Source organism: Homo sapiens, chromosome 17 (genome assembly GCF_000001405.40).
Source record: "Homo sapiens chromosome 17, GRCh38.p14 Primary Assembly".
Lineage (NCBI taxonomy): Eukaryota > Metazoa > Chordata > Mammalia > Primates > Hominidae > Homo > Homo sapiens.
Genome location: NC_000017.11, coordinates 59,005,364 through 59,032,330, shown reverse-complemented (window position 1 = coordinate 59,032,330; position 26,967 = coordinate 59,005,364). Strand labels below are relative to the sequence as shown.

The window sequence follows — 26,967 nt, the reverse complement described above, 5'->3', positions numbered from 1 at the left end:
GATGGTCTCGATCTCCTGACCTCATGATCCACCCGCCTCGGCCTCCCAAAGTGCTGGGATTACAGGCGTGAGCCACCGCGCCCGGCCCTGGTTCCTTCTTTCTGCTTCTTATCATGAACCTGAACTCCTAAGAGATAGGTCCATAGACAAGTATTCATATAATGTTAACCAGTTCATTTTTTCATTTAAGTATAGCTAAGTTTGTGCATATATATATCATTTTCTACGCCTCTTTTGCAGGTAGTAGCCATGGTTATGTGGGTTCCAGTAGTAGAATATCAAGAAGAACACATTTATGCTCCGCTGCTACCAGTAGTTTACTAGACATTGATCCATTAATTTTAATACATTTGTTGGACCTTAAGGACCGGAGCAGTATAGAAAATTTGTGGGGCTTACAGCCTCGCCCACCTGCTTCACTTCTGCAGCCCACAGGTAAAATAATAACAATGATAATTTCCTTTTTTTCTGTGGTTCTCTAAAAGAACTCTTGGATTTTCATTTAAGTATTTCAGCTATGTGTGGAACATGGTGTATTTCTGTGTTTTTCATTGTATACCATAAAAATGACATTTATGTCAACCAAATTAGTTTTTAAATTACCGTTCAAAGGTGATTTGTGCAAAAACAAAGTAAAAATGCCTGCAAGAAGGTTTTTTGTGACTTGCTACTCAGATTTTGCCTGACAGTTTGATCCATATGAAATACGGTTATCTTCTTTATGAATGGACTTTTTTTGGTCAGGCTTCATGAATTCCCTTACTTCCAAGTGGAACTATATCTAAATTGAACGTAGAAAAAGGTGACTTACTCATTCTTTGATGTTCAGTAGCTTAAAAATGTATGCCAGTTGGCAGCACTGTTTTCTGTGCAAAGGTTATTTGTTAAATAGAAATTACATTTGTGTTACTATAATAAAATGGAGATTTGTATAGTCAAATATGGGCTTTTTTAAACTCTCGGGGATAGAGTCATTTTGGACAACTAAGTATTTGCCTTTAAAAGCTACATTTTAAAAACCATTTTTGTTGGAATGCTTTCTAAAGTATAGTCAGTATATTCAAAAATATATGCCAAATATTTTTCTACCTTCTTAAACAATAGTATTATATACATCAAATCAATGATTTAGAACTCTGATTTTGATGTAGTTTTAAGGCAAGATAACTCATTTTTCAATCAAAGTCCAAGGCAGAACCTCTGTGTAAATAACAGAGAAATAGAGCTCTTCTACTGGTGTAGGGACATGGAGCCCAGATTATTTAGGCTTCTTCTTTCCTAAGAGCCAGATATACTTCCTGAAAGTCTGGATCCTCAGCTTAAAAGACTATCTTCAGGTTATGAAACAGTTGCCTTTTATGTGTGCGCCAAGTATGCTTTATATAAAGTTTTACTTAAATGTTAAGTGTTGTTTGCAAAGGCCCAGTGAAACAGACAGGTTCTGATTCTGTAGGTAGATATGTAAGTTGGTTTAACCTTTTTGAAGGACAATTTTGTAGTAGTTTAAAAATATCTATATCCTTTAAACTTGTAATTTCACTTTGAGGAGTATATTCCAAAGAGAAAACAAGCAGATGTTTAAAAATATTCAACAATACAGTTATAGCTGAATAAATTACAGTGTAACCATGCAATGGTATATTTTATAGACAAGTAAAATCGTGTTTTTGAAAATAATCAGTATCATTGGGAAAAATGCAAACTAAATAGTAAGATTTCTGTGTAAAACTAGTTTTCTGTGTAAAAACAATACAAATGAGATGATCTGAATTTCAAATTTAGGTGATAAAATGCTGGCAATAATGAGGGCGGGGAAAATAGTAGAAAGAAAAAGCAAGTTTTGGATTTAAACATCTTGAGTTGGGCATAACAGTGTGACATCAAATTAGAAAGGACCAGTAGACAGCTAAAAATTAAGAACTGGGGCTGGGCGCAGTGGCTCACGCCTGTAATCTCAACACTTGGGGAGGCTGAGGCGGGTGGATCACCTGAGGTCAGGAGTTCGAGACCAGCCTAGCCAACATGGTGAAACCCTGTCTCTACTAAAAATACAAAAAATTAGCCGGCCATTGTGGCAGGTGCCTGTAATCCCAGCTACCTGGGAAGCTGAGGCAGGAGAATGGCTTAAACCTGGGAGTCGGAGGTTGCAGTGAGCCGAGATCGTGCCATTGCACTCCAGCCTGGGCAACGAGTGAAACTCCATGAAAAAAAAAAATGAACTGGAATACAGACAGTTATTTTTCTGGAGGTGATACTGGATAATTAAAACCAAGGGTGTGAGATTGCAAAGGAGTTTTAAGAATATTTTAAAAGAAGAGAGCCAGGAACATAATCCTGATGAATATCTGTTTTTACTGAGTGTCAGGAAGATGAGCCAGATAAAGAGCTTTTAGAAAGGAGAAAAAATACTCATGGAAGCCAAATGAAAATACCTTTCAGTGAAGGGATGTTAATAAAAGCTAGTGTGCAGAAATATATGACTTTCTTTTTATTGAAAAGGCTTGCTTGGGTCATTTTTTGTTTGATTGATTGTTTGTTTGTTTTTGAGACAGAGTCTCACTCTGTTGCCCAGGCTGGAGTGCTCTACAATTTTTTGTAGAGACAGGTTTCACCATGTTGGCCAGGTTTGTCTCAAAACTCCTGAGCTCAAGTGATCCACCTGCCTCGGCCTCCCAAAGTGTGCTGGGATTATAGGCGTGAGCCACTGCACGTGGCCTGCTTGGGCTTTGATGTTTATTTTTTTCTGTGTATTTATTTAACACATATTTAGTGAACATTTGTCAGATTAACTTCATGTTCTTAACCATGTAAAGGAGTACTGTAAAAGGTATCAGGTAATCTAGTTGAACCAGATTTTAAGGTACATATAGTGGTAAGTAGAACTAGAGTCATGTTGGGTCCATTCTATGAAAGGACTTGCATGCTAGCCGGAGGAATTTATTCATACTAGGCATGGAGAGCTATTGTTTTATTTTAGAAGTGGTTAGATTCAAACCGTATTTCAGAAAGCTGACAGTTCTGAGAAAATTATCAGAAATGGAAGTTCTAATAAAAAAATTTTTTTTTGTACAGATAGGGTGTCACTATGCTCCCCTGGCTGATCTTGAACTTCTGGCCTCAAGCGATTCTCTCACCTCAGCCTCCTGAAGTGCTGGGATTACAGGCATAAGCCACTGCACCTGGCCAGAAATATGTATTTTTAATATAATGTTATATATGGCAGATTTGACAAAGTATTTGGTTTCTAGATTTTTCTTTGTCTTTTTTTTCAATTATAAACATAATAAAAGCTCTGTAGAAAGTTTCAGAAAAGTGGAGAAGTTTAAAGAAGAAAGCACAAGGCAGTAGGGCAGCTTTTAAACTTTTAGAATTAAATGTGTAATTCGAACTTGAGTATGATGTGACTCAGATTCTAACTCTGAAGGTGTGAATAAGGTAGGATTCTTTATCTTTATTTTCATTAATGGAATTTAGTGCATGTTTTATTGTTGATACCACGTAAAGCACGCTAGCTTATTTTACACATCAAATTTGCATATATTCATGGTACAAATGATTTCATTAATATTAACGTTTATGTTAACATGACTTGTCAATTTCTCTGAAGCATCATATTCTCGAAAAGATAAAGACCAAAGGAAGCAACAGGCAATGTGGCGAGTGCCCTCTGATTTAAAGATGCTAAAAAGACTCAAAACTCAAATGGCCGAAGTTCGATGTATGAAAACTGATGTAAAGAATACACTTTCAGAAATAAAAAGCAGCAGTGCTGCTTCTGGAGACATGCAGACAAGCCTTTTTTCTGCTGACCAGGCAGCTCTGGCTGCATGTGGAACTGAAAACTCTGGCAGATTGCAGGATTTGGGAATGGAACTCCTGGCAAAGTCATCAGTTGCCAATTGTTACATACGAAACTGTAAGTAATATGTTCCCAGTGTCATTTCTCCACACGTTATTTGGGAAACTAGATGACTGGTTTTTTCAAAAGAATAATATTTAAATACCACTCTTCCAGTGAGTTAAGACTACAAATTACATGTGACTTTTTTCTTCATCCAAAATTGATTCCGTATATTTTTACTATATAATAGAACTAACATTTCTTGATTGCTTACTCTGTATTTGGCAATAAACAAGACAAAATTCTTAACATCATAGATCTTGTATTCTAGTAGTGGGAATCAGACATTAAAAAGTGTAGACAAGTAAGTAAAGATCATTTCAGTGGGTAAAAGGTGCTGTGAAGGAAACAACCGAGGAGTGGGATGGGAGGAGCAGATGAGACATGTTCTATTGGGGTAGTCAGAGAAAGTCTCTGTGAGGAGGCAGCACTTGACCTGAGACCTGAAGTTTAGGAAGGTGGCAGCTATTTATAGATCTAGGGCAAGCAGTGTTCTGGGTAAACAGAACAGAAACTGCAAAGTCACTGACACAGGATTTATTTTGCGTATTTGAAGGATTGAAGGAAGACCAGTATGGCAAAGAAAGCAGAGAGAGGAGACTAGCAGGAGACGAAGTCAGAGAGAGGTAGGCAGAATTTAGATCAGGGAGAGTCTTGCAAAACCTCAAAAAGGAGTTCGAGTTTTATTATGATGTAAGGAGGAAGCCTCTAGAGAATAAAAATAAGGGGTGTTTATAATCTGATTTACACTTTACAAAGATGACTTTGCTTGTTGTGTGGAGAAGGGTCTGAAAAGGGTTGAGGACAGGAATTGTGAGACCAGTAACAGCCTATTACATTATCTTGTGTGAAATATGATGGCATTTTCTGGAGTTACAATAATGGATAGAGGGGCTTGTTCACAGTCTAGCAGCCTTTCTTGACTGAGGTTCCCATCTTTCTTAGTTCTCTTAAGGATGTGCTATTCTATTCTAGATGCATAGGAGGGAAGTTAATCCAGTCTTAGATCAGCAGGGCTGAGTTCTTTCTCAGAACCATAGTTGAAAAAGCCTAAATAGAATTTTAGGAAAGTTCTATTTAGAAAGAAACTAAGAATTATGATTAAGTTTTGGCCTAAGCAACTTAATAGGCAGTGGTATCATTTATTGAGAAGCAAATCAGATAAGAAGCAGGTTATGGGGCTTGGGAGGAGGTAAGGGCAGAAAGTTGGGTATTCTTTTTTAAACATGTTTAATTTGAGACACCTGCTAGATATCCTAGTAAAATGTCATAGACACGTGAATGGTACACAACTTTGAAACTCAGAGAGAGGTCAATGCTGGATATAAACAGTTGGGAGTCAATAGTATTTTATATTATTTAAATCCAGAAGACTGAATAGGGTCAAGTTTGGAGGGAGTTTCAATGGAGAAGCAAAATTTTTGACTCTGTGGCACTTAAACATTTAAAGATCTGATAAATAGGAGAGGCCAGCAAAGGAAATTGAAAGAGCAATCATTAAGGTAGGAGAAAAACTAGAAGGGATAATATCTCAAAAATCAAAAATAATGCATCTCAAGAAGTAGAGTGGTTACCCCTGTGTTAAGTGTGTTAAGTATCACTGAGAAGTGTCAAGGCAAGAGGCCAAGTGGCCTTTTTAAGAACTATTCCCATGGAGTAGTGTAGCAGAAGAGTGAATGAGGTCAGGGACCAGAGCACAAATGCACAACTTCTTTAAAAGAAGTTTCACAATGAAGTGGGTAGAAGCTGGAGGAGGTGCGGGGTCAATAGTTTCTTGTTGGCAGGGGTGTCCTTTTTTGTGTCCTCTCCAATGTCTTTCATCTGTGAATTAAATCCATTTTAAAATTGGGTTGGGTTGTTTATTTGTAGTTGACTTTTAGGAGTTCTGTATATATTTTAAATATTTATCTTTTATCACATATATGATTTGCAGATGTTTTCTCCCAGTGTGTGGGTTGCCTTTTCCCTCTGTGGATTGTGTCATTTAACATTTGAAGTTTTTAATTTGAAGAAGCCCATTTTATGTGTTTTTCCTTTTGTTCCCTGTGCTTTTGGTGTCATAGCCAAGAAAACATTGCCTAATCCAGTGTCATGAAGCTTTCTCCTGTTTTCTTCCAAGAGTTTTAGTTCTTGCTTTTAGTCTTACTTTTAGTCTTTCATCCATTAAGAATTAAATTTTGTTTATGGTGTCAGGGAAGGGTCTGACTTGCTTGCCCATGGATATCCAGTTTTCCCAGCACTATTTGTTGAAAAGACTTTTCTTTCCTCATTGAATGGTTTTAGCACCATTGTTGAAATCATTTGACCATATAGACGAGGGTTTGTTTCTGGGTTCTCTTTGTGTGTGTTGTTTATTAAAATTGGCTGTATTAATGTTTGATAGTGATGTGAATAATCCAATAAAGATGGGTTGGTGAGGAGATAATAGCAAAATATATAGAATTCTCTTAATATAAGGAAGACAATTTAGTAGAATGAATAAAGGTTATGAATAGGCCATTAACATAAGAAATACAGATGTACAATAAAAATATGAAAAGATATTCGGCCTCACCTGCTATTCAAGGAAATGGTATATTAAACCAAATGGTATATTAAAACCAAAAGTACAGCTTTTTGGGTGGACTTTCTCAAAAAGCCTTTGTTACATATTTTGCAGATACAGTTGACCCTTGAACAGCACAGGCTTGTTGTACTGTACAGGTCCACTTAATATTCGAATTTTTTTCAACCAGAGAAAGATTGAAAATACAGTATTCGGGTGATGCCAAACCTGCATATAGGAGGGCCAACTTTCGTATAGGTGGGTTCTGCAGGTCTTACGGTGGGACTTCAGTCGAGGATTTTAGTATACGCAGGGGTCCTGGAACCAACCCCCACATATACCAAGGGACAACTGTCTCTTCCCCATTGCCACCTTTTTTTCCTGCTAATCACAGAGTTTTAAAATTTTATCTTAGACAACTGTATTAATAATATTCATCCATGAATATTAATAATATAATTAACATTCATGACATGAATATTAATAATATTATAATTAATAATAATATTCATGGCAATAATATTCATGGGTCTTATTTTTATTTGGAAGGCTTTTTAACTCCCAGGTTAATAAAAATAACCCTTAATTTCTTCTGGTACTTTTTGTTTTCTAACTTTTTTACATATAGGTCATTAATTCATATAAAGTTAATTTTATATGATGCTGTGTGAGGTAAATGGAATGATGTTTTTCCCCAAATGAATGAAACATGTTTTTTGAAATATGATGCAATATGAAATCCATCCTTTATTATAGACCAGATTCCCAAACATGGTTCTGTTTTTGAACTCATAGAGGTCGAAACAACTGAAATTGCCAGTACTCAAGTTTTGGACATACAAAAACGCAATTTGGTATTGTTTAACCCAGTATTTGTCATGTCCTCTACCAGACTAACACTTTTTTTAACTACTGTAGTTTTATAGTTTGTAATACTATGATAGGATATGTTTATTCTGTTCTTGGTTTTCAAAATGTTATTGGTGGTTCTTGCACTTTTAATCCTCCTCCAAAGTATTTTGACTGGAATTGCTTTACATTTAAAGACTAGTTTAGGGGTGCTGGGCACCATGGCTCCTGCCTGTTAATCCCAGCATTTTGGGATGCTGATGAGGGAGGATGGCTTCTTGAGCCCAGGAGTTCAACATCATATGGCAAGACCTTAATCTCTACAAAAATAAATTTTTTTGATAAGCCAGTCATGGTGGTATGTACCTGTAACCCCAGCTACTTGGGAGGCTGAGGTGGGAGGATTACTTGAGGTCAGGAATTTGAGGTGCAGTGAGCCGTGATCGTGCCACTGCACTCCAATCTGGGCAACAGTCTCTCTCTCTCTCTTAAAAAAAGAGAGACTAATTTGGGCAATTGAGATCTTTTCAGCATCAAACATTCATGTCTAGGAATGTGGTACTTCTCTCCATTTATTCAGGTCATCTGTTATATTCATATCCTTTTTTAGAACTCTCAGTTTTTTCCATATAAGTTCTATATATGTCTTGTTAAATTCATTTCTCAATGTATTATATCTTAGGTAGCTGTTGTGAGTGGAATCTCTTTTTCTCTGATAGTATTTTCTAATTGTTACTGACATAAAAGACAAAAATATTGATTTTTATGTTTATTCTGTATTCAACCAATGTGGCAATTTTTTTTTTTTTTTTTTTTTTTTTGATACGGAATTTCACTCTTGTTGCCCAGCCTGGAGTGCGATGGGGCGATCTCGGCTCACTGCAACCTCCCCCTCCTGGGTTCAAGTGATTCTTCTTTGTCAGCCTCCCAAGTAGCTGGGATTAGAGGCACATGCCACCACGCCCGGCTAGTTTTTGTATTTTTAGTAGAGACGGGGTTTCATCATATTCGTCAGGCTGGTCTTGAACTCCTGACCTCAGGTGATCCACCCACCTCGGCCTCCCAAAGTGCTGGGATTACAAGCGTGAGCCACCACACCTGGCCTGGTGAATTTGTTTTATTAACAGTTTTTCAATTAGTTATTTTGATTTTCTAAGTATTTATATCATCAGCAGATAATCATAATTTGTTTATTCATTTTCTGCTTACTTTTTGTATTGCATTGTCTAGGCAGGTACCTCAACAGTTTCTTAGTAACAGTGGTAGGATTTTTATAATTTTTCAACTTTATTTAGGAATTCCTTTAGTTTTTTTCTCATTAAATTTGAGGTTTGCTGTATGTTTCAATAGGTACTTTTTTGTTTTTGTGTTTCTTTTTTTTGAGACAGAGTCTTGCTCTGTCACCCAGGCTAGGGTACAGTAGCTCTATCTCGGCTTACTGCAAGCTCCGCCTCCTGGGTTCATGCTATTCTCCAGCCTCAGCCTCCCGAGTAGCTGGGACTACAGGTGCCTGCCACCACGCCTGGCTAATTTTTTTGTATTTTTTAGTAGAGACGGGGTTTCACCATGTTAGCCAGGATGGTCTTGATCTCCTGACCTCGTGATCTGCCTGTCTTGGCCTCCCAAAGATTACAGGCCTGTTTCTATCAAGTTAAAAAAGCTGTGTGCAATGGCTCACGCCTGTAATCCCAGCACTTTGGGAGGCCAAGTCGTGCAGATTACTTGAGGCCAGGAGTTCGAGACCAGCCTGGCCAACATGGAGAAACCCCATGTCTACTAAAAATACAAAAAAATTACCTGGGCATGATGGCATATGCCTGTAATCCCAGCTACTCAGGAGGCCAAGCCACTAGAATCGCTTGAACCCAGGAGGTGGAGGTTGCAGTGAGCCAAGATTGCGCCACCACACTCCAGCCTAGGTGACAAGTGAGACTGTCTCAAAAATAAATAAATAAATAAATAAAAAAGTTAAAAGGTACATCCTTCTATTTATAGTAATAGATTCTATAGTATAGTATAGTAATATATTCAATCTTTCTCTGGTTGAAAAAAATTCGAATATTAAGTGGACCTGTACAGTACAACAAGCCTGTGCTGTTCAAGCGTCAACTGTATCTGCAAAATATGTAACAAAGGCTTTTTGAGAAAGTTCACCCAAAAAGCTGTACTTTTGGTTTTAATATACCATTTGGTTTAATATACCATTTCCTTGAATAGCAGGTGAGGCCGAATATCTTTTCATATTTTTATTGTACATCTGTATTTCTTACTAAAGAAATTTAGTAACTAAAGGTTACTAAACCTGTTTAGTAACAACAATACCAATAATGGCTAACATTTACTAAGTGTTAACTGTGTGCCAGACATTATTCTAACTATTCTAAGTCACATGCATTGACTCACTTAATCTTAACAAGAAGTCTAAGAGGTAAGGTAAGTCAATTTCATTCCAGATTTACAGATGAGGAAACCAAGGCAGCAGGCATTGAATAATGTTGCTAGTTTCACATTGGTAATTGGCAAAGCCAAAAACTTGAACTTCAGAGCCTATGCCCTTCACCCTAATACCAAACTGCCTCTTTTCTTACTACGAGAATTTCTTTTCTTTTTAAACTGAAGCTGTGTAGAATTATATCAAATGATGTTTTGACATTTGTCAAAATGATTTACTATTTTGTTCCATTACTTTGTTATCATAAAGTAAATTATATTATTTTTCTAATGTTGACCATTCTGGAAATACTGGAATGCATCCTATTTAGTTTGGGCCTATACTTTTTTTAAAAAAACACTGCTGTATTCAGTTTGCTAATATTTTACTTAGGATCCTTGACTACATAGTCATAAGTGAAATCGATCTATTTCATTACACTATCCTTAACCCACTTTAGTTCTAATTCTGTGCTTGTTTTACAGATTAAATTCAGATGTTTTTGTCCTTTTCTATGCTATAAAATTATTTTAACTATATGTTATTTGCTCCTATGCTGTATTAAACTTTATGTCTAATAAAAAGCATTCATAAAACTAGTATAGTAACTCAGAGTTAGAACTTTAACAGCCTTTTTAATTTCTGTTGGATTTGTTGGTTTCCTCATATTTTTAATTTTTTTAATTTTTAATTTTTGTGGGTACATTGTAGGTATATATATTTATAGGATATATGAGATATTTTGATACACGCTTACAATGCATAATAATCACATCAGGGTAAATGGAGTATCCATCATCTCAAGCATTTATCCTTTGTGTTAAAACAATCCAATTGTACTCTTTTAGTTATTTTCAGAAGTACAATAAATTATTGTAGACTGTAGTCACTGTTGTACTAACGAATACTAGATCTTATTCATTCTATCTAACTATATTTTTGTACCCATTAACCATCCCCCCAGCCACCCACTACACTCCCTAGCCTCTGGTAACCATTGCTGTATTATCTTGAGTTCAGTTGTTTTAATTTTTAGCCCCCACAAATAAGTGAGAATGTGTGAAGTTTGTCTTTCTGTGCCTGATGTATTTCACTTAACATAACGATCTCCAGTTCCACCCATGTTGTTGCAAATGACAGGATCTCATTCCTTTTTTATGGCTGAATAGTATTCCATGTGTATATGTACCACATTTTTTTTTTGTTTTTTGAGATAGAGTCTCACTCTGTTGCCCAGGCTGGAGTGCAGTGGTGCAATCTCGGCTCACTGCAACCTCTGCCTCCTGGATTCAAGTCATTCTCCTGCCTCGGCCTCCCAGCTAGCTGCGACTACAGGCATGCGCCACCACGCCCAGCTAATTTTTTTGTATTTTTTAGTAGAGATGGGGTTTCACCTTGTTGGTCAGGCTGGTCTCAAACTCCTGACCTCAAATGATCCACTTGAGTCGGGCTTACAAAGTGCTGAGATTACGGGCGTGAGCTACCACGCCCAACCTAACATTTTCTTTATCCATTTGTCTGTGGATCTTAGGTTGCTTCCAAACCATGGTTATTGTGAATAATGCTGTAGTAAACATGGGAATGCAGATACCTCTTTGACATACTAATTTGCTTTCTTTTGGGTATATAACCAGCAGTGGGATTGCTGGATCATATGGTAGATCTATTTTTAGTTTTTCTGAGGAACCTCCAAACTGTTTTCCGTAGTGGTTTTACTAACTTACATTCCCACCAATGGTGTATGAGAGTTGCCTTTTCTCTACATCTTCACCAGCATTTGTTATTGCCTGTGTTTTGGATAAAAGCCATTTTAACTGGGATGAGATGGTATCTTATTGTAGTTTTGATTTGCATTTCTCTGATGATCAGTGATGTTGAGCACTTTTTCATATGCCTGTTTGCTATTTGTGTGTCGTCTTTTAAGAAATATCTATTCAGATTTTTACCCATTTTTAATCAGATTATTGAATTTTTTCCTATAGAGTTGTTTGAGATCCTGGTCATTAATCTCTTGTCAGATGTAGTTTTCTCATACTTCTGCTGCTACTTAAGTCAGTTACTATAGTTTTCCAAGAAAAACTAATTATATTTGGGTCTTTAAATTTATTGATATACAGTCATTTATTCTATTTTCTTAAATTTTTAAAACTTCTTGTGCATATGGGTTGTTAACTTCTTTTTCACTTATTTTATTGCTTACTTCTGTTTTTTTTTCTCCTTTGATTTGACCTGCTCAAGGGATTTGCTAATTTTGTTCATCTCCTCAAAGACCAAGTTCTTAGATTTATTTCATCCATTGTCTTTTACCATTTCATTATATTTCTGCTTTTGTCTTTGTTAATGCTTTTTTTTTTTTTTTTTTTTTTTTTTTTTTGAGACAGAGTCTCGCTCTGTCCACCAGGCTGGAGTGCAGTGGCGTGATCTTGGCTCACTGCAACCTCCGTCTCTTGGGCTCAAGCACTTCTCCTACCTCAGCCTCCTGAGTAGCTGGGATTACAGGTGTGTGCCACCACACCGGGCTAATTTTTGTATTTTTAGTAGAGATGGGGTTTCACCATGCTGGCCAGGCTGGTCTCGAACTCCTGACCTCAGGTAATCCACCCACTTTGGCCTCCTGAAGTGCTGGGATTACTGGCATGAGCCACCGCACCCAGACTGTTAATGCATTCTTTTTTCCTTAACCAATAATTCATTTATCCTTTTAGTGGAGAAATTGGTCATCATTTTTCGTAAGTCTAGAACATTTATCTAAGTCTAAGAACATTTTCATTAACCCTCTCCCTAGAACTCCAAACCCATTAAAAGTCGTTCCCCATCTTCCCCTTCTACTATCTTCTGGTAACCACTAATCTACTTTTTCCCTATGGATTTTTCTTCTTCTGGACTTTTTTTTTTTTGAGACGGAGTCTCTCCCTGTTACCCAGGCTGGAGCGTAGTGGCACAATCTCGGCTCACTGCAAGCTCCGCTTCCCGGGTTCACGCCATTCTCCTGCCTCAGCCTCCCAAGTAGCTGGGACTACAGGTGTGCGCCACCATGCCCAGCTAACTTTTGTATTTTTAGTAGAGACGAGGTTTCACCATGTTGGCCAGGTTGGTCTCAATCTCTTGACCTCATGCGCCACCCACCTCAGCCTCCCAAAGTGCTGGGATTACAGATGTGAGCCACTGCGCCCAGCCTGGACTTTTTATATAGACTCATACCATATGAGGTCTTCTATGTCTGGCTTATTTCACTTAACACAGCCCTTTCAAGGTTCATTCATGTTGTGGCATATATTCCTTTTTATGTCTGCATGATATTTTATTGTATGGCTGTACTACATACTGTTTATCCACTCATTAGTTGATGGATATTTGGGTTGTTTTTACTTTTTGGCTATTATCAGTAGTGCTGCTATGAACGTTCATGTACAAGTTTTTGTTTGGACATATGGTTTTGTTTGAGTATATGCTTAGAAGTGGAATTAATGGGTTACATGGCAACTGTGTTTAACTTTTTGAGGAACTACCAGTGCCAGACTATTTTCCAAAGTAGCTGCATCATTTTATATTCCCAGCAGCAGTATATGAGGGCTCCAGGTTTTCCATACCGTTGGCAACACTTATTGTCCCTCTTTTTTTCCTTGCCCATTGCATTGTCTTGGCATCCTTGTCAAAAATCAGTGGACCATAAATATAAGGGTTTGTTTCTAGACTCTCAATTCTGTTTTGATGATATATATGTGTATATGGCAGTACCACATAGTCTTGATTACTTAGTTATAGTAACTTTTGAAATCAGAAGTGAGTGTTCCATTTAAGATTGTTTTGGGTATTGTGGGTCTCTTACATTTTCAAATGGATTTTAGGATTAGCTTGTCAATTTCTGCAAAAAAAAAAAAACACAGCTACTATTATTTTAGAAATTGTGTTGAATCGGTAGATCAATTTTAAGAATATTGCTTTGTTAACAGTATTAAGTATTCTAATCAGTGATGAACACAGGATGTCTTTGCTGTTGTCTCTATTTTCTTTCAAGAATGTGTGGTAGTTTTCAGTGGACAAGTCTCACATTTCTTTTGTTAAATAAATTCCTAAGTATTTTAATTGTATTTTATGCTATTAAAAATGAAATTGTTTTCTTAACTTCATTCTCACATTGTCTGCTAGTGCAGAGAAATACAATAAGTTATTTTGTCTTATATCCTGCAACCATGCTAAACCTGTTTATTACCTATTAATGAATTTTTTATTTTTATTGTTTTTTACAATTTTATTTTTATTCTTTTTTTAAAATGTATTTTTAAAAGAGATTTATTTAACTCACAGTTCTGCAGGCTGAATTCAAGGGCAGGGCCCTGCCTTCTGGCAATAGCATTCTTGCTTGCTTATTTTTATTGTCTTCCTAGCTTTTGAATCTATGCATATTAGGTCATATAGTCCCTTTTTTCCCTAATTAATTCATTTTAAGGCCGTACATTTTCTTTTCACTACTGGTTTGGCCACAGACATTTTGATTTCAAGTACCATAATTGTAATTTGTTTCTAACTCAGCATTGATTTTTCTTTTTAATCCAATAATACTTTATAATTTCCAAATGTTTGACGGGTTATATATTTGTTAATAGTTTAACTGCATTGAAATTTGTATGATTTTTCTTAAGGAGCTCACAGATAATCTTTTAAGTTAAGATTTTACGGGCGGTGTGCGGTGGCCCATGCCTGTAATCCCAGCATTTTGGGAGGCCGCGGCAGGTGGATCACCTGAGTTCAGGTGTTCGAGACCCAGCCTGGCCAACATGACAAAACCCCGTCTCTACTAAAAATACAAAAATTAGCTGGGCATGGTGGCGAGTGCCTGTAATCTGAGCTACTCGGGAGGCTGAGGCAGGAGAATTGCTTGAACCCAGGAGGTGGAGGTTGTAGTGAGCCAAGATCGCTCCATTGCACTCCAGCCTGGGCAACAAGAGCAAGACTCCATCTGGGGGAAAAAAAAAAAAGATTCTGCTCTACAAGCAACAAGATGGGAATGTTTTATGACAAAAGTCTAAACCAATTGGGGCTACAGAATGTTGTTTATTTTTAGACAGTAGAGAGAACAGCTTCCATGCAAGGTAAGATTAAAACTTTTTCTGACAGACTAAATAGTGAGTTTTGTGCTGTAGTAGCCTATTCAGAGGTGTTCTTAAATGTCTTTGCAGCCACAAATAAGAAGAGTAATTCGCCCAAGCCAGCTCGATCCAGTGTAGCAGGTAGTCTATCACTTCGAAGAGCAGTGGACCCTGGAGAAAATAGTCGTTCAAAGGGAGACTGTCAGACTCTGTCTGAAGGTAAATTTGAGGGATTCAGAATGTACTTTTAGTGGGGTAAATATTTATTACCTGAAATTGATGTTATCGTGGAGCTTTAGATCTTGAAGGGCACCAAAAATGCTAAAGTTGGATTTGAAAGTTTCTTTTTTTGAAACAGGGTCTCACTTTGTCACCCAGGCTGGAGTGCAGTGGTGCGATCTTGGCTCACCGTGGCCTCGACCGGTGGTTTAAGAGATCCTCCTGCCTCAGCCCCACCAAGTAGCTGGGACTACAGGTGTGCACCACTACGCCTAGCTAATTTTTGTATTTTTTGTAGAGACAGGTTGCCCAGGCTGGTCTTAAACTCCTGAGCTCAAGCAATCCGCCTGCCTCAACCTCCCAAAGTGCTCGGATTACAGGAATGAGCCCCACCACACCTGGCTGGAAAGTTTCTTGATCTCAACAGAACAGACCCTTAACAAAATACAGCCATTAGACTATGTATTCTAAACACCTTAATTTTATTTATTCTTTATTTTTGTTGTTTTCCTGAGACAGAGTCTTGCTCTGTTTTCCAGGCTAGGGATGCAGTGGTGCAATCATAGCTCACTGTAGCCTTGACCTCCCAGACAAAAGTGATCCTTCCACCTCAGCCTCCCAAGTAGCTGGGACCACAGACACAGACACATGCAGCCATACCTGGCTTTTTTTTTTTTTTTTTTTTTTTTTTTTTTTGCCGAGACAGGGTTTTGCTACATTGTCCAGGCTGGTCTTGAACTTTTGGGCTCAAACAATCTTCCTGTCTCAGCCTCCCAAAGTGTAAAATTACAGGTGTGAGCCACAACACTTGGCCTGGACTCCTTAATTTTAGATGCTTGGCATAAAAAACAAGGGATATGTTTCAAAATTATTTTTGAAGTTTTTTTTTTTTTTTTTTTGAGATGGAGTTTTTTCCTCTAGTTGCCCAGGCTGGAGTGCAATGGTGCGATCTCGGCTCACCGCAACCTCCGCCCGCCGTGTTCAAGTGATTCTCCTGCCTCAGTCTCCTGAGTAACTGGGACTACAAGTGCACGCCACCACGCCTGGCTAATTTTTGTATTTGTAGTAGAGATGGGGTTTCACCACATTGGCCAGGCTGGTCTTGAACTCCTGACCTCAGGTGATCCATCCGCCTTAGCCTCCCAGAGTGCCAGGATTACAGGCATGAGCCACCACACCTGGCCTATTTTTGAAGTTTTTATGTAGTTTTAAAATGATATATATAGTGAGATTTTCTAATGTAACTGAGAGAGACCTTTCATGTTTATTTGCCTTTTTTCTGATTATCCCTCCTTTTATTTTATTTTATTTTATTTTTTGGAGACAGAGTCTTGCTCTGTTGTCCAGGCTGGAGTGTAGCACAATCTCAGCTCACTGCAACCTCCGCCTCCCAGGTTCAAGTGATCCTTGTGTTTCAACCTCCCAAGTAGCTGGGATTACAGGCGCACACCACCATGCCCAGCTAATTTTTGTATTCCATCTTCCTTTTTTTGAAGGCTCCCCAGGAAGCTCTCAGTCTGGGAGCAGGCACAGTTCTCCCCGAGCCTTGATACATGGCAGTATCGGTGATATTCTGCCAAAAACTGAAGACCGGCAGTGTAAAGCTTTGGATTCAGATGCTGTTGTGGTTGCAGTTTTCAGTGGCTTGCCTGCGGTTGAGAAAAGGAGGAAAATGGTCACCTTGGGGTAAATTAAGTTGTTTTGTATATGTAATGGTATAATAGCTAATAGCTTTGTTTGGAACTTTAAGTATGCATCATGATGAACAAATTAATTTCTACCTTGTTAATTTTTTAGTGGACAGAAAATACATTTATTGCACTAAATTTTAACTTTTTTAATTTTTTTTATTTTTTTTAACAGAGCCTCGCTCTGTCACCCAGGCTGGAGTGCAGTGGCGTGATCTCAGCTCTCTGCAACCTCTGCCTCCCCGGTTTAAGTGATTCTCCTGCCTCAGCCTCCCAAGTAGCTGGGATTACAGGTGCCCGCCACCACACCCTGCTAATTTTTGTATTTTTAGTAGAGACGAGGTTTTGCCATGTTGGCCAGGCTGGTCTTGAACTCCTGAGACCTCAAGTGATACGCCCACCTCAGCCTCCCAGAGTGTTGGGATTACAGGCGTGAGCCACTGCACCTGGCCTAAATTTTAACTTTTTTAAAGTATCAGAGATTTTACTTTTTTTTTTTTAATGGGATGAGATAGTACTTTTTTTTTTTTTGAGATGGAGTCTCGCTCTGTTGCCCAGGCTGGAGTGCAGTGGCATGATCTCAGCTCACTGCACGCTCCGCCTCCCAGGTTCATGCCATTCTCCTACCTCAGCCTCTCCAAGTAGCCAGGACTACAGGCGCCCACCACCACGCCCAGCTGATTTTTTTTTTTTTTTGGTATTTTTAGTAGAGATGGGGTTTCACCATGGTCTCAAGAGATAGTACTTTTTTTAATGGGATGAAATAGTACCGGAAGTTTAGTTTAAATATGTTAGAGCTCATTTTCACAATGATACGTAACCTTATCTGAACTCTGCCTTGTAAATTTGTATGTGTTGGCGGTAGGGGGGCGGTCAGCCTTTTTTTTTTTTTTCAGTCTATCCTACACTTGTCAAAGATGTTAGTGTTGGGCTATATTATGTGTCACAGGCATTTATATATATTTTGTATGAAACAAAGCACTTACAGCAACTTTAACACTGCTTTTCTGCTTTTATCTCATCTTTCTTCTCTCCTGTTATCAAAGTATCCTCAAAACTTATAGTTGGAATTTCCCAAAAAGATATATAGTAGTTAACACGTTTATCTCTCCCCTAGGAGACATAAACTCAAATCCCCGGCATGGCAATTAAACTTCCATCTATTCAAAAGATAGAGTGATTATGGATATTGGCTATGGATGTGGCAGATGATTAGCCATTAATATCCATCTGCTTATCTATTTTATGGATATTAAACCTATTTCTAAATTTAAACAATGAAATAGTTCTATTTTGGAGACCCTGAAAAGAATTTTACCTAAATTGGAGAAAGATTAACACCCTTTAAGTTTACTTAATTTTATATAGTCAAGGTCTGGCTCATTACCAAAACTACAAGATCAGCTGGTGGTTTAGCTTTCTGGCTCAAGTTTCAGTAGTAGAAAGGTGTTAAAATCACTGGAGATTATCTTGTCTTCCCTACGTACTACCTAACCTGATGTTTTATACATTTCTTCAAATTAAAGTGCAACTAGCTCTTATATTTTATTTGCTATGGAGATATTTTTATCTGCCTTTAGTCACCACAATTAAATATACATGAACTTAGTTTTTTTTTTTCTAGAGTGTAAAATCCTGTGCAAGTGTGTGCAGCTTGATCCTCATTTTGCAGTTGATTTTATCTGCCAGCCTGGTTCATGTAGGTGCTGTCCAGCTCATGTCTTTTTTTTTCCTGCCTGATTTAAAGTAGTGTAAGCAAAAAGTTTAAATACTAATGAAAGGCTGGGCACAGTGGCACACACCTGTAATCCCAGCACTTTTGGAGGCTGAGGTGGGAAGATGGCCTGAGCCCAGGAGTTTGAGAACACCCTAGGCAACATAGCAAGACCTTGCCTCTGTTTATTTTTTAAATAAAAATAAATATTAAATACTAATGATAAGTGTTTCAAAATGAAAGGAGAAAAGAATAAGTGAAAAATTTCCCATCCTTAACTCCCATGACCTAGTTTTCCAACCCCCTGCCCACACATATTCATGCTGTTATTAATTTTTCATGTGTGCTGTGTCTTCTCAGTTTTTGTGTATATTTAAGGAACTGTGACTATGTAGCTTTTTTAATACAGAAGATGTACTTTATTTTCTCATTCAATAATATCTCTCAGGCCAGGCACGGTGGCTCACACCTGTAACCCCAGCACTTTGGGAAGCTGAGGTGGGCAGATCACTTGAGATCAGGAGTTCGAGCCAGCCTGGCCATCATGGTGAAACACTGTCTCTACTAAAAACAAAGTACAAAAATTGCCGGGCGTGGTGCTGGACACCTGTAATCCCAGCTACTTGGGAGGCTGAGGCAGGAGAATCGCTTGAGCCCAGGAGGCAGCGGTTGCAGTGAGCTGAGATCACATCACTGCACTCTAGCCTGGGTGACAGAGTGAGACTCTATCTCAAATAATAGCAATAATAATATATCTCAAAAGTCTTTCCCTATTAGAACATATTATTTAAAACTTCTATTGGTATTTATAAGTTAAAATTTTATTGAGCTAATTATAGGTTCACATTCAGTTGTAAGAAATAATGCAGAGAGATCCTGTGTATTTTTCTCCCCTAATGATAACATTTTGCAAAACTGTAGTACAATATCACAACCAGGATACCAACATTGATGTAATCCACCATTTCATAACATTTTTTTGTGAATATTTAGTGAAAAAAAAATTTTTTTTTTTTTTGAGACAGAGTCTCACTCTGTTGCCCAGGCTGGAGTGCAATGGTGCAACCTCGGCTCACTGCAACCTCCACGTCCCGGGTTCAAGAAATTCTCTGCCTCAGCCTCCCGAGTAGCTGGGATTACAGGCGCCCACCACCATATCTGGCTAATTTTTGTATTTTTAGTGGAGATGGGGTTTCACCATCTTGGCCAGGCTGGTCTTGAACTCCTACCTCAGGTGATCCACCCACCTTGGCCTCCCAAAGTGCTGGGATTACAGGCATAAGCCACTGTGCCAGGACCTTAGTGAAATATTTTCAGATAAAATTTGAAATTTAGTATTAAGCACCAGAGCACGTACCCTACTTAGTTTGGTGCTCAGTTCAAAAAGAAAATATAGATTATTGTGTCACTAGTTATAGAGAAATATCAAGTTGTTTTCTTCTTTGAGGGCTAATGCTAAAGGAGGTCATCTGGAAGGACTGCAGATGACTGATTTGGAAAATAATTCTGAAACTGGAGAGTTACAGCCTGTACTACCTGAAGGAGCTTCAGCTGCCCCTGAAGAAGGTAAGGAATGATAAACTTATAAGTAAGCAGGAAATGAGAATTCTGTCCCTTTTTTGGTGGTGGGTGGTGGGTGGTGGTGGTGGTGGTGGTGGTGGTGGTGCTGCTGCTGCTGGTGGTAGTGATAGGGATAGGGAGTGGTTGGTTTAATGGAAATGTTACTGAGATCTGCTATTCGACATGCTTGATCTGAACACAACATTCCTTGTGCCACTGAATTTGATTTGCTAAGATACCAAATACAGAGGAAGGCAAAATGGGTAAGTTACTATATAAAAGGACAGGCCTTACTAGAACAGGCATTTGTATGGGGAAAAAATCTGCATATAGTTCATCTGTTCGGTCAATAAATATGTTAAGGCACCTACATACCAGGCATCGAATTTTTGCTAGATTTATTAATACAAAGTTGAATTAGATATGTTCACAATCTAATGGGGAAGATATGCCCTAGAACAACTAATTAGAATAGTAAATGTTAAGTATTTTTTAAAGTCAGTCTTAATTAGTGTCTGTAGATTGCTTTATTCTTCTTAAAGAAGCATTCCAAGTTTTGACCATTTTTTAAATCCTGTATGATGACTGACTTCAGCTTGTTCTCAGCTGTACTTTCTAGTGTTTCTTTTGCATGTTCTTCCAAGTTCATTATTGTTTATCTAAAAGCATAGAAGACATTTTGCAATTTGGGGCAACAGAGGTGCTTAGAACAAGGCTATGTGTATTGCCCTTGCTGTGTCCTTTATAAATTGGTAGAAAAGAATGTCAACTCTCTTAATGATATTTGGCCTTGTAATTTTTTCATTTCTTAGTGAAACTCCACCACCTTCCACCTCTGCACTCATTTGAATTTCAATGATTGATGAATTGTAGCTCAAAGCATACATACAGGTGCCAGCATCTACTCAGCTGCCCTAAGAAGAGGGTGTGTAGGTGGTGGCATTTTCAGGTTTCTCAGTTAAAGAACACTAAATATTTTGGTTTTCTTAATTGGTGCTTCTGTGATGGGCAGCATTATTTCAGTAGAAGAGATTAAATAGAAAAGATTTTTGTAAATGATGTGTTTATTGTTAAAACATCAAGAAAGAAATATTATGATTGAAGATCTTTATAGAATGGGCCTGTGGGGAATACTTTCTTTTTCTGTTGTTTTTTTTTTTTCCCCGAGACGGAGTCTAGCTCTGTTGCCCAGTCTGGAGTGCAGTGGCACAGTCTTGGCTCACTGCAGCCTCCAACTCCCGGGTTCAAGCGATTCTCCTGCCTCAGCCTCTGCATAGCTGGGATTACAGGCGCTTGCCAACACACCTGGCTAATTTTTGTATTTTTAGTAAGAGACGGGATTTCACTGTGTTGGCCAGGCTGGTCTTGAACTCCTGACCTCGTGAACCACTCGCCTCAGCCTCCCAAAGTGCTAGGATTACAGGCGTGAGCCACCAAGGCCGGCCGGGGAATAGTTACTTTCTATGTGTCTCCATACATACTGGATTGTAGTAGCTTAAATTACTACAGAATATGCTGGAATTACAAGCTCATTTTTCTTCCACCAAGCGCAGTGGCTCATGCCTGTAATCCCAGTACTTTGGGAGGCTGAGGCAGGCGGATCACTTGAAGTCAGGAGTTCGAGACCAGCCTGGCAAACATAGTGACACCTCATCTCTACTAAATATAGAAATATTAGCCAGATGTGGTAGCAGACACCTGTAATCCCAGCTACTTGGGAGGCTGAGGCAGGAGAATTGCTTGAACTGGGAGGCAGAGGTTGCAGTGAGCTGAGATCACGCCACTGCACTCCAGCCTGGACGACAGAGTGAGACTCTATCTCAAATGACAGTAATAACAAGCTCATTTTTTTCATGCAACATTTATGAAATGCTTCTAATTTACCGGATGTTGCATTTGATGCCAGTGATAAAATTCCTGAACTTACTATCTAGTTCAGACTTTCTCCACCTTTGCACCATTGCCATTTAGGCCACATAATTCTTTATTTTACAGGGACTGTTCTCTGCACTGTGGAATGTTTAGCAGCATCCTCAGCTGTTAACCACTAGATACCAGTAGTGTTTCCCTCCGGTTACAACAACCAAAAATGTCTCTAGTCATTGCCACATGTTTCCTGGGAGGCAAAATCATCCCCAGTCAAGAACCAATAGTTGAACTAAATAATTCTCAACCAGAGGTGACCACTCCTTGAGAATCACTTGCCAGAGTGGGCCACAGTTATTAATAGAAATAAGTTGTAGCTCTCAGGTATGCTAGGTATGTGTGGTGGTATTGGTAGGAGGGCGGCAAGGAGAGCAGTTGAAAACCAATTGTTAGGTGTCAGGGGAGACTAATAGCCAGTTGTAATATAGGACGATGAGTGCTGTGATAAGGTTTATAGGCAGCTCAAAAATGAGATACGTAATAAAAATAATAGTAATACTAAGTTCTTACTGTGTTAAAGACTTTACCAGTATTCTGTTATTCTCAGAATAACTCTACATGGTAGTTGCTTTTGTTAACCTAGTTTTACAGGTGAGTAAGCTGAGGCCTGGAGATGTAATTTACCTTACCCAAAGTCACAGGGTTAGAAATTGGAAGGCCAGGGCCGGGCGCAGTGGCTCATGCCTGTAGTCCCAACACTTTGGGAGGCCAAGGAGGGTGGATCACCTGAGTTCAGAAGTTCAAGACCAGCCTGGTCAACATGGTGAAACCCCATCTTTACTAAATATACAAAAATTAGCTGAGTGTGGTGGCGGGCACCTGTAATCCCATCTACTTGGGAGGCTGAGGCAGGAGAATCGCTTGAACCCGGGAGGCGGAGGTTACAGTGAGCTGAGATCGCACCATTGCGCTCCAGCCTGGGCAACAAGAGTGAAACTTCGTCTCAAAAAAAAAAAAAAAAAAAGAAAAGAAATTGGAAGGTTGGGCATGTTGGCTAATGCCTGTAATCCCAGCACTTTGGGAAGGCCGAGGTGGGCAGATCACCTGAGGTCAGGAGTTTGAGACCAGCCTGGCCAACATGGTGAAACCCCATCTCTACTAAAAATAGAAAAATCAGCCAGGCATGGTGGCACACTCCTATAATCCCAGCTACTCGAGAGGCTGAGGCAGGAGAATCACTTGAACCAAGGAGGCAGAGGTTGCAATGAGCTGAGATTGTGGCCATTGCACTCCAGCCTGGGTGACAGAGCGAGACTCTGTCTCAAAAAAAAGAAGAAAAGAAAAAAAAGAACTTGGAAGAGCTAGAATTTGAACCTAGAGCCAGTGCTCTTAACTGTCGCCTCTCTCTGCTAACCTAGTCCCTAATCCACCCTTGGAAAGATCATCCTAAGGGATGAGTAGGAGTTAGCCAGATGAAGACTGGTGAAAGGCCAGAAGGGAGACAGACCAGAGGCCAGATCATGAAGAGTTACGTGGAATGTCCCAGCTAGAATTTGAACTTTGTCATTTGAATAGGATCTAAGTTAGAAGTGACACTTTAACATTTCTACTCTAGCTGCATTCTGGAGAATGGATTTGGGGGTGGGAATAGCATATGTGGAACTAGAGGCAGGAAAATTGGTAAGAAGCATGGTTAGGTGAAATGATTTGGACTTCTTTATTTTTAATTTTTTATAGAGACTTGGTCTTGCTGTATGCTCAGACTGGTCTTAAACTCCTGGGCTCAAATGATCCTTCTGCCTCAGCTTCCCAAAGTGCTGGGTTACAGACATGAGCCACCACACCCGGCCGCCCGATTTGGACTTAATTTCAGCCTCCAATTTATCAATTTACATTATCTCAGCACTAATTTTTATATATAAAATGGCTGGTCAGCACAGAAAACACTGGAACTTTTTGACACCAGTTTCATTTCTTATTTAAAGCTAATTGACAGCTTGTCCTAAACTGAAGAAAGGCATTTGCTTGGCCATAGTGAAGATCGGTACATTTTCCAAGTCTTTGAAAGAATGGAGTTATTCATGTAGGATTTAGAGTTAAATGGTCAGTGTTATTCAGTAACACATTTTATCTTTATATGTGGGGTGTTGTGCTATAAATAGCACCTAGAACTCAATAAGAAAAATTGCTGTGAATGTGCAAATCAACAGGGACACAGAAGTACACCCTTGTAATTTGTTGGTATCTGAACAGCTTGTTTACCTCCAGAGTCCCAGGATAGACTGTGAGAAGGAGACTAACTGATGAGGCTGAGAGAAGGTAGTACAGGAGACAAAGGAAGCCCTGTGCCTCCTGTAATCAGCTTTGTTTCTCGAGGAGAGTGCGGCCTTGCTCACTGTTGCCAGTATTATTCTATCATCAGCAAGAGCAAGTTCTCAGGAAACCCTTATATACCTATAAGCCTTAGTAGACAGTTGAATGGATTTGTCTTGTATCCATGCTTAGGAAAAACAAGACTCTTTATTTTAGCTGAATACAAAAAGAAGACATTCGGTGTCATATCACTGTGGGGTTCTCTCTCTTTCTCAAAGAGAAGGTTGTCTGGAGGACTTTAAGGCGTTGTTTGTGGTACTGGCTGGGAATTTGGGACTACTAAAGTGTCTCTTAATTGCTCTTAAGCATCAGTTTAAAAATAACTTTTTTCTTAGATATGAACATAAATAGGCCTTTTCCTTTTTACTGGAACCATATGGGACAACCTTTGGTTGTATTAGTCGCTGGTTTAATGATCTGATGCTGAAAAGGTTGACTTATTTTTTCTTTCAATTGATGACCTGCACAACTGTAGGTAGGCCAGTTTATTTCTTGTTCTTTGTAAAACTAAAGGCTTTGCTCTCTGACTTCTTGCTGAAGTAGCACATACCCCCTTCAGTTAAATCAGGGGTACTCAAAACACCATCTGGGGAAAAGCCTTGGCATGCCTGTTAAAAACCTTGCTGGTGGCCTCTTTAAGAGGAATACAAAGCCTGATGGCCTGCCATTGCTGATCATTTAGGGTAATTATTAAGATGCCTTTAACAAAATTCATCGAAAAATTAACTGACTTGAACAAAAAGGAAAATTAACTCTTTTACATTAACAAATCTCTCAATAAGAAGGTACACCTGTGGTAGAGCAGTTTTCAGGATTAGAAAATTCAGCTGCTCAGTGTCATCAGGAACGTGTGTGTGTGTGTGGGTGGGTGGGGGTGGGGTGGTTTTAGTGTGTGTGTGTGTGTGTGTGTGTGTGTGTGTGTGTGTGTGTGTGTGTTGGAGGGTGGGGGTGGGGTTGTTTTATCTTTTGCCCTGCTATTCTGAGTGAGAGGCTTAGCTCTTCTCAGGGCGGTAAGATGTTTGCTGCAGTTCTAGACATCAGAGTCAGAACAGCATTCTGGGAGTGGAAGAGGATTGATTTATTCTATATATCTCCAGCAACAACCTTTCTCTAAGCACCTCAACAACTTCCTCTTCTATCTCGTCAGCCACTGTCAAGGAAAGTGGCCAAGTCCAGTTATTTATTTATTTATTTATTTATTTTTTGGAGACAGAGTGTTGCTCTGTCGCCCAGGCTGGAGTGCAGTGGTGCAATCTTGACTCACTGTTACCTCCACCTCCCAGGTTCAAGCGATTCTCCTGCCTCAGCCTCCCAAGTAGCTGGGATTACAGGCATCTGCTGCCATGCCCGGCTAATTTTTGTATTTTTAGTAGAGACGGGGTTTTGCCATGTTAGCCAGGCTGGTCTCGAACTCCTGACCTCGGGCAATCTGCCTGCCTTGGCCACCCAAAGTGCTGGGATTATAGGCATGAGCCACCGCGCACCCAGCCAGCCAAGTCCAGTTAGTTGGTCTCCCTCACCAACTCGTTCCACATGGATATGTGGTAAGGGAAAATACCTGAACAATATCAGGGTCCTCTTCGAAAGGAGAAAGGCAGATAAATTGTTGGTGACTAGAATATAAAGTGTCATCTGTACCAGGTGGTTAATGTATTTTCCATAGCATCTGAAATTCGAGCAACTTGATTTAAGGGAGTTATAACTCAAGTTAGCTTTACTGAGCACATACATAGTAGGTGCTCAAAAAATATGGTAGATGATTGACAGAGTAATAAGATGCAGATTTCTTTTGCGTTAACAATCTCTGAAGCTCCTTACAATTAATAGTATCTTGTAATTGCTATCATTGACGTCCAGCCATTTGTCTTTTTCTTTACATTCACAAAGGTAGGAAACTTCCAGATCTTAGTGCTTGATAAAAGACCAGGCGTTTTCATGCAGGAATTTCTTCCTAGCATTTCTTGGGAAATGTGTGTTTTTTTTGAATTCTGAAAAAAATTAGTCAAGAAGTTTAATAAATGGAAAACATTATTCTAATTGTCTTATTAGAATTAATTTTAACAACACAGAAACATTACTGATTTGAAGGAATCTACTTAGGGCAAGTTGAAAGTAAAAACTGGAAATACTGATACCTGGAATCAAAGGTTAAGGTCAACAGGAGCTCCTTGGAAAGAAGTGATTACAAATCAGTCCTCATTATAAATATCGCCGTTTTATGTGTGTTCATGGCCCTGTCTGCTGCTAAGTAAATAATAATGAGTTTACACATGGTATACTTAATAAAAATTGATTGGTGTTCCAAGAAAGATTTTGAAGCAAAATCCTTATATTGGCATTTTTATTAACATGTGATTCTGCATAGTACTGTAAACCTTGCTGAGTTCTAAACGTGACATTATTCACATACTACCCAGTAATACCCACATGCAGTCTAGCATTTGAATATTCACTATAGGCCTCAGCTCTTACAAATACTAATTAAATGATTTGTTTTAAAGATACACATGTAGGCTGGATGCGGTGGCTCACACCTATAATCCCAGCACTTTGGGAGGCCGAAGCGGGTAGATCACAAGGTCAGGAGTTCGAGACCAGCTTGGCCAGTATGGTGAAACACATCTCTACTAAAAATACAAAAAAATTAGCTGGGTGTGGTGGCACATGCCTGTAATCCCAGCTACTTGGGAGGCTGAGACAGGAGAATTGCTTGAACCTGGGAGGTGGAGGT

At 39.0% G+C, this 26,967-nt stretch overlaps 1 protein-coding gene across 47 annotated transcripts in view; it reads left to right on the top strand.

Moving 5' to 3' along the window:
* TRIM37 (tripartite motif containing 37) overlaps positions 1–26,967 on the top strand; it is a 139,680-nt gene that overhangs the window by 74,550 nt on the left and 38,163 nt on the right. For 37 of the 47 annotated variants that reach the window (NR_148347.2, NR_148346.2, XM_047436110.1 and 34 more), the window contains 5 exons: positions 241–435; positions 3,608–3,916; positions 14,907–15,035; positions 16,532–16,721; positions 19,885–20,003. Coding sequence is in view for 45 of the 47 variants with exons in the window: in XM_047436110.1 (XP_047292066.1) it covers positions 241–435; positions 3,608–3,916; positions 14,907–15,035; positions 16,532–16,721; positions 19,885–20,003 (942 nt within the window). In the remaining 2 variants the exon portion in view is untranslated. The remainder of the gene's footprint in view (positions 1–240; positions 436–3,607; positions 3,917–14,906; positions 15,036–16,531; positions 16,722–19,884; positions 20,004–26,967) is intronic. The other 10 variants (XM_047436122.1, XM_047436123.1, XM_047436116.1 and 7 more) reach the window with 1 other exon arrangement.